The sequence below is a fragment of the Homo sapiens genome, chromosome 12 (assembly GCF_000001405.40).
Source record: "Homo sapiens chromosome 12, GRCh38.p14 Primary Assembly".
Classification (NCBI taxonomy): domain Eukaryota; kingdom Metazoa; phylum Chordata; class Mammalia; order Primates; family Hominidae; genus Homo; species Homo sapiens.
In genome coordinates this window covers 26,427,596-26,446,271 of record NC_000012.12, presented here as the reverse complement: position 1 = coordinate 26,446,271, position 18,676 = coordinate 26,427,596, and the positions used below count along the sequence as shown (strand labels likewise).

Genomic DNA, 18,676 nt, shown 5'->3' with positions numbered 1-18,676 from the left:
AATATGGTTCCTGGCCTCCCTTTGACCATAACATAAGGGAGACCCTTAAGGCTTCCTGGCAGTACTACTATATTTCCCAAGTCCGTGTACTTTCCCTAGCTATTTTATAGCTGCTTTTCATCAGTTATCCAACACCTCCTCTCTCGTCCTCATTATCAGCTTCCTACTTCACTGAGAAAAAAAGTAACCAGAAAAGAACTTGTCAGTGTTCCCATCATCACAACCACCCAACCTCCTGAATCTGTGCCCATATTCCCTGCTGTCTCTAAGGGTGAATTTTTTCCTATCTAAGGCAAACCCCTCTACAAATGTTCTAGATCATTCCACTCTCACCTAGTCAAGATGTTGCTCTAGTGAATAGTCCCTTTCAAAACCAAACAAACACTATGTTCTATTTTCCGTATTTAAAAAATCCACCTTTATCCCTGCCCTTTTGTCTAGCTGCCATCTATTTCTTGGGTCTCCCTTACACCTGCAGTCCTCAAGAGCTGCCTCTACTCACACTCCTTGTTTATACTTCCTCACCTCCCATTCTTTTTTAAACTCACTACAATTAAGCTTTGGTATCCACCACTTCCTAAAACGGCTGCTGTGAAGCTTTTTGGTAATTTCTGAGTTGCTAAACCAAATGACATTTCTCTGTCCTCATTTGATTGGACTTACCTGCTACATTTGATGCAGATAATCAATCCCTCCTTCTTGAAATTATTTCTTCACTTGGCTGCAAGACACCTGGCTGCGTGGGGTTTTGTTCCTACCTTTCTTAACCAACTTTCTCAGTCTAATTTGCTGATGTCTTTTCTCTTCCTAACCTATATTGGAGTTCCATGGAGCTCTTTTCTCTGTTTAAGCTCACTTTTAGGTGATCTCACTAAGGCTCATGATTTTAAATATCAGTCATATACTGACGACCCCTCCATGCACAGCTCCAGCACTGACCTCTGCCCAGAATTCCTGACAGACAAATCCAACAGCCCGCTCCTCGTCTAAAGCTTCATATGTCCAAAACCAAAGTCCTGATTTTATCCTGCTAAATGTACTCCTCCTACATTTTTTCTTAGTAAATGACGTTTCTAAACTATTAGTCGCTCAGGTCAATAACTTTGGAATCATCCTTAATTCTCTTTCTTTCATGCCCCAGATCCAGTCAGCAAACAAATCATGCCAGTTTTGCCTTCAAGAACTGGCCACTTCTTAAAACATGCTAAGGTACCTAAAGATTACAGTAATTTTATGCTTTCAAACTGATTGAGATTTTTAGAAACCCCTGTAAGTCACAACAAGTTTCATGACTGTGGTTTGTAATAAAAATGTGTATAATTCAAATTTAGTTAAAAAAATGTAAATAGAAAATAGGAAATAGTTTTCTTGAGTGATTGATTAGTGACCCAGAAAACCAATTCTGAAATAACAGTTTTCAAAATGATTTGCTCTAGAGCAGCATCAATGTAATGAACATTTAACTTACCAAATTATCACTTATAAGGATAATGTTCATTTGGTCTTCTAGTTTCTGAATTATTTAAAATTCATCTCCATGATTATAATAATAATTGGTATTAAGATCTCATGAATAATAGGAAAACTTATTGCTCCGTAATGTCGATAAAATACTGGCTCTACCATTTTCTAGCTATGTTATCACAAACAAGTTCCTTACACTCTCTGTGCTTCAGTTTCCTCATCTGTCAATGGCAATAATAAGAGTGCTTACCACTGGATTTCTTAGTAGATTCAAATAAGATCATGTACTTGAAGTGCTTAGAATTAGTGCCTGGCATGGAGTTGGAGGCAGGCATTGTGCTGGGAGTGAAAGAGTTCTGTGGTAGAGTCTCTGTTAGTAGAAGCCCTCAGGGAATTTAAGCATTAATAAGATATTTGATAAGTGAAAGATATTGCAAGGTTTCAGGAATTGCTCGAGACAACCATAAAAGAGACATCTGAAGGCAACATGTATTACTAATCTACAAAGTGAGAGAACTAGCCAACACATGCTGTAGACATTCAAATGGGAGAGAAAGATCACTTCCACTACAAGCAGTTTAAAATAATTTATGGTGAAATTTTTGCTTTTTTAAATGCCTGATTTCAATGACAATAAAATCAAGATCTATACCCAGAAAGCACTCATTTTGGCTTACAAACATGAAGCAACATAGGACTTTATACCAACTACTAATGTAGAGCTTAGATTACATGCTATAAGAGAAACTCTTCTGAAATACAGATACCTATTTATGTGTGTATAGGAAAAACACACATTTATATTGTTCCCACCACTCACTGATTTATTGCACTGTTGATCACTTTGTTTTTATTTGCATGTAGTTTAAATTTACTATAGACAGTGTCAATTATGTATCACTGGGAACATTTCTTCTTCCTGGTACAATCGTACATTTATTGAAGACATAAATTTAATCAACAAATATTAATGGCTGATCATTGTGATTTCATTATCTCTGCCTTTCAAATACAGACATGCTTTCCTGAAGTGTAACTAATTGTCCTTAACCCTAGGACTCTGAAGCTATGTGTACAAGTAGACAAAGATATTGCAAAGTTTGACCCTAGGAAAGGGGAAAAGAAGACCTAAAACCTTTATTTTTTCCCTACTCTAGTTGGCCCGCCACAATAAACTGTTGCAGCAGATGCTCAAACCAGGATCGGATCCAGATGAAGGAGATGAAGCCTTAAAGTATTATGCCAACCACACTGCACAGATTGAGGTAACCATCTATTATTTATTGAAAGAGACCAACTGTGAAAAGTTATGCTTACTTCCTATTTTAGACCATTTTCATATTTTTTTCTAGAGCAATGATGCAGAAGTGAGTGGTTTAAACTGAAAAATGTATAGTAAAAGGATGAGTGAGGAGTGATTTATAGGAAACTGAGGTGTACATCTTTCAAAGTTGTCTTTTTTTACTAAAACTATATGTAAAATTTTTTTTTGTAATTAATAGATGTTTTTTAACTGTAGAAGCAATCAATCATTGCAGAGCAATAGCGTTTGAGAGATGGGATTATTATAATAGAAGCCATCATTCAGGAAAAGGTTTCTTTTTTAAAATTGTGGAAAGCTTATTAAAATAGAGATCTCCAGCAATTCACAAGTGGAGTAAACATGAAAGAAACTAATACAGTTTTCATATTGATAGCATAGCCTTGGAAAGGTTTAACAGTTTCCATTTTCAGTATGCAGCACTTGACCCCTCCACCACCCTCATAAATGAGACATTATTTAATGGTTGGTGGCAGTCCAGGAGGTGTGGGTCAAAATGGACTTACCATTATGTGTTCTGAGACCCATCTGGCTGTCATTTACTAGCTATGGTATCATTTTGACACTGGCTGGCAGAGCTAATCAGGCAGAAGTGAGCAGAGTAGTTGACGCTTGTCACTCCTATAATTTACATTTATACATTCATTCATTTTGGCAGATATTTTTTACTTTTCAGCAGAGTGCATGATGGGCATCACTGTATTCACTCTCAAGATATATAACCCCTACACTGTATTGTTTACTATTGTCAAACCTTTGTGTCACAGAAACGGATACCTTGCTCACATTTGTAAACATTAATAGTACCATAGCTTTGGTGTTGGACTTGACTTAGTGGAACCCATGAGCTGGACTAGCAGCAAAAACATTTCTATACAAATAGAAATAGGTCATCAAACCATGAAGGTCTTGAGGAAGATCCCAGAAGTCAAAGTACAAAGCTAGGAGATCAGAAGAGACCAGGGAATAGCAAATAGAGTGAGCAGGCCATGGGAGAAGTTTGGTTAATGCGGGTGAGAGATGGGAGCTGTTGTTTGATGTTGTTTTATTGATTCCAGTAGTGAGGAGAGATTTAGCTATAAATACACACATTCAGTACATGTTTACTGAGCACTTACTCTCTACCAATTCACACATATAGAAGATAATTCTATGTTATAAGTATATAAACAAAGGGCCAAGGAAATGTAGAGAAAATAATAATTAGTGGTGCCTGAGCGATTTCAGGATAGATTTCACTGAGAAGGTTGCCTTTAAGAATGTATTAAAGATTGAGTACGAGTTTCTCCTTCAGGATGGGGATTTCAGAAAGGAGAAAGTAAGTGAAGGGAAGGTATTAAAAAACATGGGAAGGAGATGACTATTTTCAAAAGATCAATCTGGTTGCCGTTTGGAGACAGGACTGGAAAAGAGAGTGGGATAGAAAACACATAGAACAGATAGGAAGATATTATAATGGCAAAAGTGAGAGGTGATATCGAAGATGGCTGGACTGGAAAATACATAGATACATAGATGCAGATACATACATACATATAGATCTCTATATAGTTATATATATATTATAAATACACACATATACATATACATACTGACAGGGCTTTGAAGTTGAAGTTGAATTGCACATGTTAGGAAAATGGTGTGGAAAAGGATGTCCTCTGGGCTACTGGTTTGAATAAATGAGCAGAAGTTGGTGCCATGTATGAGAATGCTAGGAGAGAGTGAAGTTTGGCAGCTAAAAGGTAGAAGAAGATTATTTGTTCATTATTGGATAGATTGAATTTGAGGTGACTTTGAGTCATCCATGGAGTTGGATATACAAGTCCAGGTTTCAAAGGAGTGGTCCAGGCTGATGAACTCGTTGATCAGCTCTTGCACTCATCTGAAGCCAGCTCACATGACCTACTCAGAGAGTCCTTCCTCCCTTCTCCAGGCTTTCATTAATTTCATCTCACTGTGTATGCTTCCACAGCAGTTTGGTTATTCTGTTAGTTTAATATTTATCACATTGGAATATTGTTAGCTTCATATATGTCACTTCTCCTTTACTTGAGGCAGGGACTGGTCTTGGTCATCTTTGTATTTCCAAAACTGAACCCTGTGCCTTGAACATAACCACAACAATTCATGTTATTGAGAATAATAGTTTGTCTGCAAGTTATAGACTTAAAGACCCTGGGAAATAGGAAGAGCCTTGTGTCTAATCACCCATCTAAGAAGGAATTGCCCTCTAATGATCTGCTTCTGCTTTAAATTCTTCCTGCGATAGAGTTCTCACTACATCAGGAAGAAACTGATCCGATTTTGAATGTCTAGTAATTAGAAACTTTTTTTAAAATGAAGAGTTAACATTAGCCCATTTTAATGTTTACATTCAGAACATTTTTTTCTCCCTCAACATGATAGCTTGACTCTAACATCTGAAGAGCCATCATGATTACTAAACTACAAGCTCTTACCTGTTGGGGTTCATGTTGTTTTTTTCTCCAACATGCCTCACCTAAAGACTGAATAAGCATTTGTTGAATAAACGTATTGAAAAATTATCCATCTCTGGCTTTTTGCGGTTAACACACCTCCATTTCCTTCAGTAATCCCTCCAGTTTGTCCATGCTGCTTGTAAAATGTGACAACCATAATCAAACATAACATTTCATAAAAGGACTGAAGAGCTTGGCTTATAATAATCTAGACATGATTTCTTTGATGCACCCTGAGATTTTTTAAAAATATTTGACACTATTGAATCAAGTAAACCTTTTTTCCCTATATGGTTGCCTGTCATATCAAATATGTCCAATTATTTTGTACAATTGATTTTTGTAACCTATATGCAAGAATTTTTATTTACCCTACTAAATTTCATGTAGTTTGCTTTATGACAGTATTCTAGTATGTAATTGAATATATCACATATCATTTAGGATACCTTCAGTTACAAGATTAATAGAATACCACAGTGACAATTGTTTAAACAGTAAAATTTTATCTTATGGGAAGTCTGGAGTACCAGTAGTTCTGTAATTGATTCAGTGATTCAGTGATGTCTTAAAATATGCAGACTCTTCACATCTTTATACTAGGTTCCTTATCATGCTGACACTATCTCACCTCATGGTTGCAAAATGGCTGCTAGCATTCTAAGCATCATGCCCTTAGACCCTTTTGTTCTAAGCAAGAAGAAAGAGGGTACAGGCAAACCAAAACAACAACAACAACAAAAAACTTTTGTTTTCGTGTATTTGGTTGTTGTTGTTGTTGTTGTTGTTTTGTGTGTCTCTTATGGCTCTCTGCCTTTACCAAGAAGCAAAATCTCTCCTGGAAGCCCTTTCAGGATATTTCTCTTTATGCCTCACTTTCCAGAGGTACAGTCCATGACCACCACCACACCAGTCAGTGGCAAAGGGAAGCAGAATTACTCGTTTGGGTTAAGCCAATCCTTATTCATTCCTGAGAACTGGGCACTGTACATAAATATGAACCTTGAAATTTAGGCTACATAAGCCCTTGTTACATAGTAAAGCTGTATGAAAATATTCAGCCTTTTTTTAGTCTAAAGTTAAACAGTCACAAATAACAAATAAGGGAGGCTAAAAATGATGAGTATTTAAATGTGGGTATATGTTTACATGGATGTTGTAGCTACAAAAATATGTTTTACCATGAATAAGAGAACATTTTAATGATATAAAGCGCTTTTCTCTGTAGAGTTCAGACACATAATGCTGAATATGTCATTTGTTACCTGGCAGCCCCTTTTAGGATGAAGAGGCTAAGAACAAGATACAAATAACATAAGCGCTATGTTTAAGGCTACCCAGCCAATCACTTTCTAATTAAGACTGTCTTAGTTTTAGGATGTACTTCACAAAAATAAAAATGGGTGGCAGAAGTGTAATGCTAACCCAGAAAGAATAAAAGGTTTTAGTTTTTGTTATTTTAAGCAAAGTATAGTGTTCATGATATATTAGTCAATTAATTTCTCTTTTTTAAAGAGAAAAATACAAAGTAGTATAGTAAAAAGGGTTCTTTCAGATACTTCAAGTTGGCACATTTTTTCACAACTGAATTCATAAAACATTCTCAGTAAACTCATGTTAAAAACAAAAGCAAGTCTAAGACTGAGGTGTCCGAAAGGCTAAAAACAATGCAAATTAATGTTTTCAGATTGTCCGGCATGATAGGACCATGGAACAAATAGTTTTTCCTGTCCCCAATATATGTGAATACCTCACTCGAGAATCCAAGTGCCGTGTGTTCAATACAACTGAAAGGGATGAACAAGGAAGTAAAGTGAATGACTTTTTCCAGCAAACAGAAGATCTCTACAATGAAATGAAGTGGCAGAAGAAAATCAGGAGTAAGTACAGTAAACTGAAATGGTTAGTTTTGTGCATAGTGGTAGATAATTTGGTACTTTGGGACACATGATGCAGCTCATTTAAATTGTTTTTTTAATTTCTTGCTGGTCTGATATTACTGAAATCACTTGCAGTCTTAAGAGTGTCCGCTTAGTCTACCACTGGAGCCGAGACACCCGCAGCTTAAGGAAAACAGAAAGCCCTAACTAATTACATCGACTCTTCATGATGATCCTATTTTTAAATAAATGTTATGAAATGCAGGGTTGAAGCTGTACATTTCAAATGTTGAACAGCCACAGGTTTGAAGTCCGTGAATGGGCCCTGACTGGCCTATCAGTGAATAGGATTGAGAGACATCAGCTCCTGCGCACTCTTCCTCTGTTGTCCTGTGATTGAGGGGATTGTTTCGTGTTTTGCTGAGAGTAATTCTTTCTTTGAACATATCTTTACCTCCCCAAATCAAACAAGTTATACATATGATAACACTTGTATTTAAACAGAGCAATGTTATAATATTCCAGTTAAAAATCAGCTTAGTACAGTTCCCATGACCTATCTCTTAGGTCCCACGTCTATTAGGAAACACTGACTTTTAAAATTTAAAATTTTAGAATTTTTAAATAAACTTTATTTTCCAAAATAAGGGATCTCATGAGTTTTTCACGAAAGTCAATGGGGGAAACTCTTGAGTAGGTCTTTTTCAGTCTCTTGGAGTTTTCTAGACAAACAGGATATGTTCTCAATACTTCTATTCAACAGTATTTCATTATGGTAGTTTTCAGCAACTTTAGTGGGTATGATTTATGAATTTGAGTGGTGCTTGAGAAATATCATCTTTAGATATAGGGGTGTGGTATGCATTTTCAGGCTTTTAAAACAGAATGCTTTTAAAAAAATCAAAATTATTCTCCCTTAGCATTTTACCATGTAGAGCCTTATGGAATTCAGTGAAAATTTTGGGTGTCTAAAATACATATGAAGACACAATTTTATTTGGAGCATTTAAAAAACATATATTTTCTGGCCAGGCGTGGTGGCTCATGCCTGTAATCCCTGCACTTTGGGAGGCCGAGGCAGGCAGATCATGAGGTCAGGAGATCGAGACCATCCTGGCTAACGCAGTGAAACCCTGTCTCTACCAAAAATACAAAAAATTAGCCGGGCGTGGTGGCAGGCACCTGTAGTCCCAGCTACTCGGGAGGCTGAGGCAGGAGAATCACTTGAACCCAGGAGGCAGAGGTTGCAGTGAGCCGAGGTTGCAACACTGCACTCCAGCCTGGGCGACAGAGTGAGACACCATCTCAATAAAACAAACAAACAAAAACCAAAACAAAACAAAAAAACATATATTTTCTCCTTGACAATAAATTGAATACTGAACTAGTGCTTTGGGGAGGTCTGTGCTTTTAAAAAAATAAGTATTTTATCATTTACCAAAAATTAAATCTTAAAATAATTTTCAATGTACATTTTACTTTAAAATTTGGAAGCAGCTTATTATGAGGCTATAGGCAGAGTCTAATTCATTTGGTGGATTCAATAGTGAGAATTTGTTATTACAAATACATGCATCAACATCTTCTAATTTTGTCTTAATAGTCTACCTTTAAAAATGAGGACTCCTAATTCAGGAATGATGGAGATGCAGATGTTTATAGTTTATGATACATTAGTCAATTGAATGGCATAGCTGATCATAGCATATTTCGGCATTGGAATGTTCCCTTCCAAGAGAAGGAAAACAAGATGTACTAAAGAGAAGTACAGTTTGTAAGTAGGCAATAGGCACTAGGTTGAAATTCACAGGATATATCTACAAAGTTAATCATTTCCATTTGAAAATCGATGTGCCTTTCCCCCTTGATTAACTTCAATTTTTTAATCCTGGTGTTAAGTTTTTAAAAGTTAGAGAATGGACAAGGCCTATAGGAGCCATGTGAGTGCCCAGGGCAGGCTAGTAGATTTGGCTGTCATTCAAACTTACATGCATTACCAATCCGTTCAGTTATTTAACAGAGGTGGAAAGAACTGATTTTTGGTTAATGTAAACTGTATTCGATTGATGTATTTACTAATTCATTTGTGATAACAGACACAGAGTCCTTTGTTGAATATATGCAGCAAAGCGTGTTCCACTTATTAACAGTTTTTATTATAGTGCTCATTTTCTTCTGCTGTTTCAAACCCAACAAGTTCTTAGGAAGATTTAAGGTTTAAAATGTAGATAATATTATAAATCACTAGTTCCCCATCAGGAATACTATGTCACATGATTAGGTTTCATACTTTCAGGTAACTGTGACTGTCATAGGAATTTTCATTAGAAATATATCTGTGCTATGGGTTTGAGTTTTTTTATTTGACTTTAAGGCATGGGAATGGGACCAATTTATCAATATTACCAAATTATACAATGAAGTATATCATTTCATTAAAAGGGACCCCAGGCAACTGCTAAACTGCTCTGCAGATAGATTACAGAGAGTTATTACAGAATCACCTTTTCTGACCACCTTTAGCAATTGCAAAATTCCTCACCCTTCTACAGTAGTTTAGGCCTAAACTGGCTGAAGGATGAAAGAAGAAATCAAATTTCACTCCTTTATGGTTCTGATTGTTTTTAATAAACTTACTCAAGTCAAATATTTATTTAAATAGGTTTTTATAATAGTTTACAAAAATGATGCATTTAGTAAAATATTGTTTTGGTAAGCTTCATGTGTTGAAACCAAAATGTATTTTCCTGTTCAGTTCCTTTACATTTCTCACTTCCTAGATAACCCTGCACTGTTCTGGTTCTCGAGGCACATCTCTCTCTGGGGGAGCATTTCCTTCAACCTGGCTGTGTTCATCAATTTAGCTGTTGCTCTCTTCTACCCATTTGGGGATGATGGAGATGAAGGCAAGTGCTCGTTTTTCCTTAAAATATAAATATTTTAAAGTTCCCACTTAACTATTTAAAGCTTCAAAATAAGAATAATTTCATTCCTGTTAAATGGATTTTTCTATACTTGTTGGAAGTAGAGTATGATAGTAAATAGAACAGGCAGAAAAGTGTGGTCAACAGAACTGTTATTTTTTAAAAAGCTCATATACACAATTGTTATTAGAGCTATATTATATCTTGGCAAATAAAGCAATGAAAAGATTTGTCATTTCTACCTAATTATTATGACCCCATTTTTATACTGTATCATCTAAATTATGCAAATGACAGTTCTGTGCCCAATATTAATTGTTGTTACCTAAATACTGGCGTTTATATTTTACTCTCTTTGTTTTCTGTCTTGTCTAAGGTTTCTATAGTGAGCATACATGTAATCTAGAAATAATTTTTAATTCTATACTAAAGTCAGGGATTCTTAAGATAATTAAATGTTTATCATCTGAGGTTTCAAAAGTGAACAGCATAAGACAATATAATAATAGGAAATAAAGGATACTGAATATGAAACTATTATTAAACTAATAATACAAAAGCAAAAATGAGAAATTATACCATTTTAGGTGGAAATGAGAAATATAGGAGAAATATACTGAATCGTGAGATTTTTGGGAAGTAAGTTTTGTATAAGTTTGGTGGAGAGCATGGGAAGTATGTTACAGGCTTGGGCTACAATCTGGTAAATAACTTTGGAATGGGCATGGAAAGAATGGCTTGAAAGAAAAGATGGAGAAATCAGCTAATAATAACCATGCAGTGCTTTTGCATCTCATCATTTCATGGGATTACTGTGAGAATTTAATGAGATACTATAGGTAAAGCATTTAGAATAGTACCTGATAAACCTTCAATAAAGTTCAATGGTGGTGGTTGCTGTTTAAAAGGTACATATTTGTACTACATAAGGAAGCGTAGTGGAAAGAGAGTATGATAAGAGCAACAGGTATTTCAGCCTATTTCAGATGAACTGGGGGTGGGCAGAAAAGGAAATGGGAGTCCAAGGGTCATTTGCTATTTTACAGGTTCATTACAGGTAACATAGATATCAAAGTTCTAAACTTTAGCTGTAATCTGAGTAGTCATGAATAACCACTGTTTTTGGAAGGCATACCCGTAATAAAAGAAGAATATTAAGCAATGGAGTGGATGTATGAGTTAAATAGCAGTGAAAATGTAGCAAATATTTGGCCATCCATTATAGAGCAACTGCAAATACACCAGGAAGTAAAAACGGCATTCTCTTCATTGTGTTTGGTCTCCTTTGGTGATAAACTCTTAGCATAGAGGAATATAACTCTTGGGAGGAAAGAAGTCCAGCATGAATGATAAATCAATATCATCTTCACACAGAATGCTGAGAAGATTATAGAGTCCCAGTTATTAGAAGCATAAAGTCTTAGAAATGGAAGCAATTCTGGAAATCATCTAATATCAAACACTCATTTGACAGATGAACAGATGGAAGCCCAGAAAGCCTAAAAAATGACATATCTTAGAGTAGAAGGCTAACCCTTTTGTTTCCAATCTAGGACCCTTCTCCGTGGATTGGAAGCATGTCAATAACAAGAAGCATGTCCCTTCTTCATACAAGACCTAATTTCCCTTGAGTTCCATTCCATGATATCCCTTTCTTGACCACCAGAGCCAATGTATGTAGGCTCTGCTGCCACCTATTGTACATGAAATGTAGTGATGGGAAATGCCACCCCTCTGGGCAGTTGCTCTTTACTCATTCAGGAGAAGCAGAATACATGGTATTTGTAATACTTGCCTGGCCAATAATAGTTATAATAGTAATACTGATAATAATAACAGCAGCGGATGTTGTTCACCACTTAGATTGGGTCAGGCAAAATGCTAAGCACTTCACATACATTTCACTTAATCTTCCTGACAAATCTGTATTCTTATGGAGGAAGAATATCCTTATGGATGAAGAAACTGAGGCTGAAGATTTGCCTTGTAATTAGAGTCCAAAAATATGTATTTTTTAATAAGCTCACCAGGTATTGCTGGTGCAACTGGTCGTTAAAAAAGGACTTGAAATAACGGATTTTTCAAAGCCATTCTTTACCCATTAATGGTGGGAAGGGAGGAGCATTTTCTCTCCTTAATACTTTATATATGTATCCATTTTCTATAATAAGCATGATATTATTTTAATAATACAAATGTTTTTTAATTTACCCTATATATTTTTAAATCTTAGAAAGTATGAAGTTTATCTTTTATAAAAGAAAATTCAGAAAGCAAAATTGCAAACTTCAATCCAGTTCACATAATGAAGCTCTGCTATCTACCTCATGCAGACTCTATAGTTTCCTGTACAGAACATGCTGCTTCTTACTTCCCTGTTTCTCTCCATCCCTCTGCCTCCCAAGTAGCCTCATGAGATCTTTCTGTTTCCTCTACCTCAGTCCAGCTAAATAGATACCCACTCAGAATTCCCTGGGTCGTCTTTACTATTGTGCCTTATTCATTTCTTGGTCCCTTAACTGGACTGTGAACTCTCTGAGGACAAGGACAAGTTTACTAATCTTTGTATTTTTTAAAATACAAAGATTGTAAAATCTTTATATTTAACAGTGCGGCACTCCATCAACAGTTAAGTTGAAGGAATTGAAATCACCATGAAGAACTCATTTTCTTTAACACAAAGCACTTGATGGAAAAAAACAATTACACTACAAATTTTAATATAATTTTTAAAAATCACATACTATCTTGGTATAAGACATTCCCATGGCATCAATTTTCTCCTAGTTATGGGAGGTATAAGTTTGTTAGTCCCAGAAATAGGACTAACGAACACAAGGCTGGAAGACATGGTGCACTATCATCAGGTGCAGATGCAGACTTTACTTCTGGGAAAGGACTGGATAGCAGTTAACAGTAGTAACCAATGTAGAGGCTCAGCTTAGGATATCCAAGTGGATGGGGTGCTTAGAGGGAAGGGAAGGCATGAGCTGCCATTTTGGCAATATCAAACCCCAAGGTTATGTCTGGGTCATCTGGTTATAGTTCTGGATGAGTTATTTAATTATAGCCCCATGAATAAGGTTAACATTTTGGTCAGGATTAGCTTAGTCTTAATCTGTTGCACACTGCATAGCTAGGAATGCTGAGGAAACAGAGCTAAGACTGTTACACATACTTGGCCATCAGAATTGTCTGGAGAAGGAAAGCTCTGTGCTGGTGGTGAAGGTTCTCTGATGCTGGATTTGGTCAAACAGGCTGAACGACTGTATGCTAGGGCCACTGTGAAGTGATTTAGAGGTGGGTGAGATTAAAGATGGATGAAAATTCCTTCAAGAAGTGCTTAAAAATGATGGAGACATGTCAGAAAACCCAGGATCCAACTTGAAAGGTCTCCAGATGGTCAAATATGAGAAAATTTAGAGAAAAAGATTATTGACAGTGACACATCATCTCCTATAGAATAAAATAAGAATCCAGGAGTTCATGTTGATAGTGGGAAGATAAAGCTCTTTTTTAGTAATTGTATTCCAATTAATAAAATGTAGACAGAATGACGGAAATAAATGTCACCATTTGGCAAACATCACAGTAGTAAAAATTATCCATGGCTGCTAAAATTAATGGGTGACTATATGATGAAAAGTATATAACCTATATATAATGTACAATTCTGTCCCCACAGTATACTTAATTATGAAAGGAAAAATAATAACTTTAAAGTGATCACTTTAGCTAAGTGATCAGTATTAATGGCACCTGTAATGAGACCCAGCAACATCACATGCCTCCTGATACAATCACCGACAAGGACATAACATCATTTTCCAAAAATAAATTAACTGATAAAATTTCAGACAAACCCCAAATGAGGGATATACTACAACATAATTGGCCAGTACTCTTCAAGGTGTCAAGCTTATGAAAGACAAAGAAAGACTGAGCAACTATCCAAATTAAAAGATACTAAAGAGACGTGACAACTGAATCCCATGTGTGACCCTGGTTCAGAAGAAGGACATAAATTGGGAAATTGACTAACTTTGACTAGATAGATGGTAAAAGTGGTCTATCAATGTTAATTTCCTGATATTGATCATTTTCATGTAGTTATATGAGGTGTTGACATTTGGGGAATCTAGGTAAAGGATAAAGTTAAAAAGAAAAAAAAATAATAAATGTAAGGAGTCTGTCCAACCCTGAAGTTCCTTGACTCGGTATAGAAGCTGATTATGAAATCACCTGGTAAGTCTTGGACCACAAAAAGAGCTCTGGTTAAAATATGCCACCTTCCAACCCCAGATCCTAATACATGCTGGTACCAATGTGGTGGTGAGAACAGAGGGACTGGCAGAGGGAATGAGCCGTGTATGCTTCCTCCAATTATATTTCCCAGTCTGAACACCTGGACTACTAGGAGTTTCTTGTGCTCAAATATTTGGTTCACACTTGGGTTATGATATTAACTGAGAGAGTAGTTGCCCTCTTCAACCAGGTAGTGGGGTACAATGACTAAATGGAGACATTTAAGGGAGAGGGAATTCTCAGAGGACCAGCCTGTTGGGCACTCTTCACCCTCTACTGCAGATAGAGAATCTCCTTTAATTGCCAGGCTTTGAAGAGTTTGGTTTCAATTTGTTCAGGAGTACAGGGCTGATGTTTTATGGCTAAACGTTTTGGTTGGGTTTCTTTGTTTGGCTGATTGGTTTTTGTGGCTGTTTGTTTGTTTAAGGTATGCTTCTCTAAAAAAGAAACATGCCAATGTTGAGGAATGAGGCTACACTGGTTGCGGCTGAAGCAGCAGCTGCTGATGCTGGGAATAGCCTGGAAGTCCACTCAGAAGCTGACAGCTGCCACGCCAGATATCCCTACCCAGGATTTCATTTGGCAAAGGCAGACTAGTTAGTGGAGAAAATTGATGCCATGAGAATGTCTTATACCAAGATAGTATGTGATTTTAAAAAATTATATTAGAATTTGTAGTGTAATTCTTTTTTTCCATCAAGTGCTTTGTGTTAAAGAAAATGAGTTCTTCATGGTGATTTCAATTCCTTCAATTTAACTGTTGGTGGAGCGCCGCTATGTGCTAGGCACTGTTAAATATAAAAGATTTTACAATCTTTGTATTTTAAAAAATACAAAGATTAGTAAACTTGTCCTTGTCCTCAGAGAGTTCACAGTCCAGTTAAGGGACCAAGAAATGAATAAGGCACAATAGTAAAGACCACCCAGGGATTTCTGAGTGGATGTCTACTTTAGCTGGACTGAGGCAGAGGAAACAGAAAGATCTCATGAGGCTACTTGGGAGGCAGAGGGATGGAGAGAAACAGGGAAGTAAGAAGCAGCATGTTCTGTACAGGAAACTATAGAGTCTGCATGAGGTAGATAGCAGAGCTCCATTATGTGAACTGGATTGAAGTTTGCAATTTTGCTTTCTGAATTTTCTTTTACAAAAGATAAACTTCATACTTTCTAAGATTTAAAAATGTATAGGGTAAATTATAAAACTTTTTGTATTATTAAAATAATATCATGTTTATTATAGAAAATGGATACATATATAAAGTATTAAGGAGAGAAAATGCTCCTCCCTTCCCACCATTAATGGGTAAAGAATGGCTTTGAAAATCTGTACTGTCAGCTCAGCGAGGTGGCTCATGCCCGTAATCCCAGCACTTTGGGAGGCCAAGGCAGGTGGATCACCTGAGGTCAGGAGTTCGAGACCAGCCTGGCCAACAGGGTGAAACCTAGACTCTACTGACAATACAAAATTTAGCCAGACGTGGTGGCAGGCACCTGTACTGACAGCTACTCGGGAGGCTGAGGCAGGAGAATCACTTGAACCTGGGAGGCAGAGGTTGCAGTGAGCCGAGATCACGCCACTGCACTCCAGCCTGGGTGACAGAGCAAGACTCAAAGAAAATCTGTACTGTCTTCTCTAGAGTTTGTCAGAGAGACTTCAGTTCTTTTTTAGCATTGAATCTTCAGATAGAAACCAATATGATCATTCTTAGAGAAGTTAATTATAAACATTGGCAATAGCTGTTTTAAATAACTTTTGAGTTTATTCCACAAATATATATTTAGTATGAACCTATGTGCAAGCTACTATACTAGACACTCTTTGAGTTCTTTTCACAAAGGGATCAAACACCCAATTTTAAGTGCCTGACTATAATTTCTGTTTGATCAAGGGGATATCTCAGCAAACCAGATATGGTCTTGGAAAGAATAGTGAAGAGGTGAATAGTTTATCAGAAATTAGTGACAATGCACAATGTGACTATCTATGCCAAATTATTCTAGAATAAGAGTGTCACCAAGACATTGCTTATGAATTATGCTGAAAAGTCAAATAACTGGCTGACAGCTGTAAATGTGCCTTGAAGATATTGTCAGTTTTAGTGAACTTAAAAGCTAAGCTGTATGACTTGGGGAGTTGATAACTGGAGACTTAGTTATTTATTCAAAACAAACTCACAGAATATATTTTTGTTTATTTACTCAATCAACAAATTTTTATTTGTTGTTGTGTAACAGGCATGGCGATAGGTCTAGAGATGGCCCTCATCCTTTTAGATTGTACATCCTGGTGGAGTCTCAAGTCCCAGTAAGAAAGAGAGAAAATTGAAGACATTATTTACTCTATGGCTCTTTGAGATCTGTGAGGTCAGGGCAGTTGGTGGTCAGCCTGTATTTTGGTAGATGTGGAGTGCTTACAAGCCAACATCATCATAAACACGAGTAGGGTACCTGTATGTTAGCATTGCCAGAGGACAAGAATTGAAGGTAACTTTCAGAGCAGTTTACCCTTTTTCTTTCCCCATCTCCAAATTAATCTTATCAGATTATAAATTTGGTGAGGGAGAATATCACATCTGTCTTCCCAAGCTCCTTTCATCATTGTTTGCTTTCAGAGACAGCATGATAAGAACAAACCTTGCAAAAGTAAACATGTCTAAATGAATGCTGTTCATTATCTGATTTTTTGTTTGTCTTTTAACAGTTGACAGGATCTTCCTGCCTATTTCTGAGATGTTAGCACACACTATGAACTAAGAGTTTATACAGAATTCATTAAAGGAGTCAGATAATCCCAGGGTTTTGATGACAGTACAAAAGCTATGCATATCAAGCCCTTGAGGTGTTTTGCATGCGGTAGCAAATTTTATAAATAAAGATAAGAGGTGTGGCCAAAAGATTAAGACTGTTATTGAATATTTACCAGTGGAAAGTCTCCATTTTGTTGTTTCCTTTCTATGTCAGCCTATAGACATGCATTTGAGGCCCCAGAGCTGATCCAATCAGCCCAAGAATGTTGCCTCTTAATTTACTTCTGCAAATGCAGCACCACATGACCTTCAGGGAAAGATTCCTTGAATGCACATGTCAGTGCAAATGTCAATGAATTGTACTACTTATTAAAGAAAAAATATTTTTGAACCTCTCTTTTGGGGAGTTCCTAAGAAATCTTATGTGTAACAGAGTTCGTTTTTTAAGACATTTGGAATGTGAATTTTCTGATGAGTAAATAGCTAAAAATTTTATTTAGCAGTAGAGTTGGCCTTCAAATACACACACTCATGCACGTACTCATACACATATCTATGTATGTGTATTTAGCAGTTAAAGCATGTGTCTATTTTATAAAGGTTATTCTACTAGATTCTTCAGAGGAATCTAGACTATGGAAACTTGATACTGATAGGACAAGACAAGGTATGAATTCAATTTTTTAATGATTTAGCTATATATCTAATGGTCATTAATCATAAATTTTGGATTAAGGTTCCCGAGAGAGATGTCTATCAAAAGTATTTAGCAAATCACCCTCATATGACAGAAAGATGAACAATTGTCAGACTTAATAAAAGGAACATTAACTAGTGAGTATTTAAGTAGCTTGAAAGTAATCACAAATTTTCTGGAAATGTAATAATGAGTAATGCTTTCAAAGACATTTCCTTGAAATATAAAGAACGTAGATGGGGTCATTTTGAAATTTACTGGATTATGGCTTTGACTTAATGATACCATATAAAGTAGAGCAGCAAATATTTTAGCATTTTTTAGTTTTATTCTTAGTAGCAATAAATTTCTTCCACATTTTACAGGTACACTTTCTCCATTGTTCTCGGTTCTTCTTTGGATAGCAGTTGCGATCTGCACATCTATGCTGTTTTTCTTCTCCAAGCCTGTGGGTATTCGGCCGTTTCTTGTATCAATAATGCTCAGATCAATATATACAATAGGTCTTGGGCCTACATTAATACTTCTTGGTGCAGCTAATGTAAGTACTTTACTTAGCTTTGTACTGTTACAGAATTAGTTTAAAAGTGTATGAAATATAAAAATATAACTATAAGCTTTTAATTCATGTATGCATGGTGAATTCTAATTTATTATAAATCTAAATTAACCAGAGCATAATTTGTACTTTTTTAATTTAATTTTGAGTGAAAGAAAAAATGATAGGTAAAAGATTGCTATATTTAAGAAGTAACATTTGGGGAATGACCCAGTTCTGCCATCAATTTAATCCAATCCAATTTTAATGCATTCTGCATCCTATACCCACAGCTATTGACAAAAATGACTGAGCCATTG

The 18,676-nt window shown here is 36.1% G+C and overlaps 1 protein-coding gene across 6 annotated transcripts in view; it reads left to right on the top strand.

Moving 5' to 3' along the window:
- Positions 1-18,676, top strand: part of ITPR2 (inositol 1,4,5-trisphosphate receptor type 2) — a 497,843-nt gene that overhangs the window by 386,923 nt on the left and 92,244 nt on the right. For all 6 annotated transcript variants that reach the window (XR_001748686.3, NM_001414174.1, NM_001414175.1 and 3 more), the window contains 4 exons: positions 2,622-2,729; positions 6,953-7,145; positions 9,926-10,051; positions 18,184-18,359. Coding sequence is in view for 5 of the 6 variants with exons in the window: in NM_001414174.1 (NP_001401103.1) it covers positions 2,622-2,729; positions 6,953-7,145; positions 9,926-10,051; positions 18,184-18,359 (603 nt within the window). In the remaining variant the exon portion in view is untranslated. The remainder of the gene's footprint in view (positions 1-2,621; positions 2,730-6,952; positions 7,146-9,925; positions 10,052-18,183; positions 18,360-18,676) is intronic.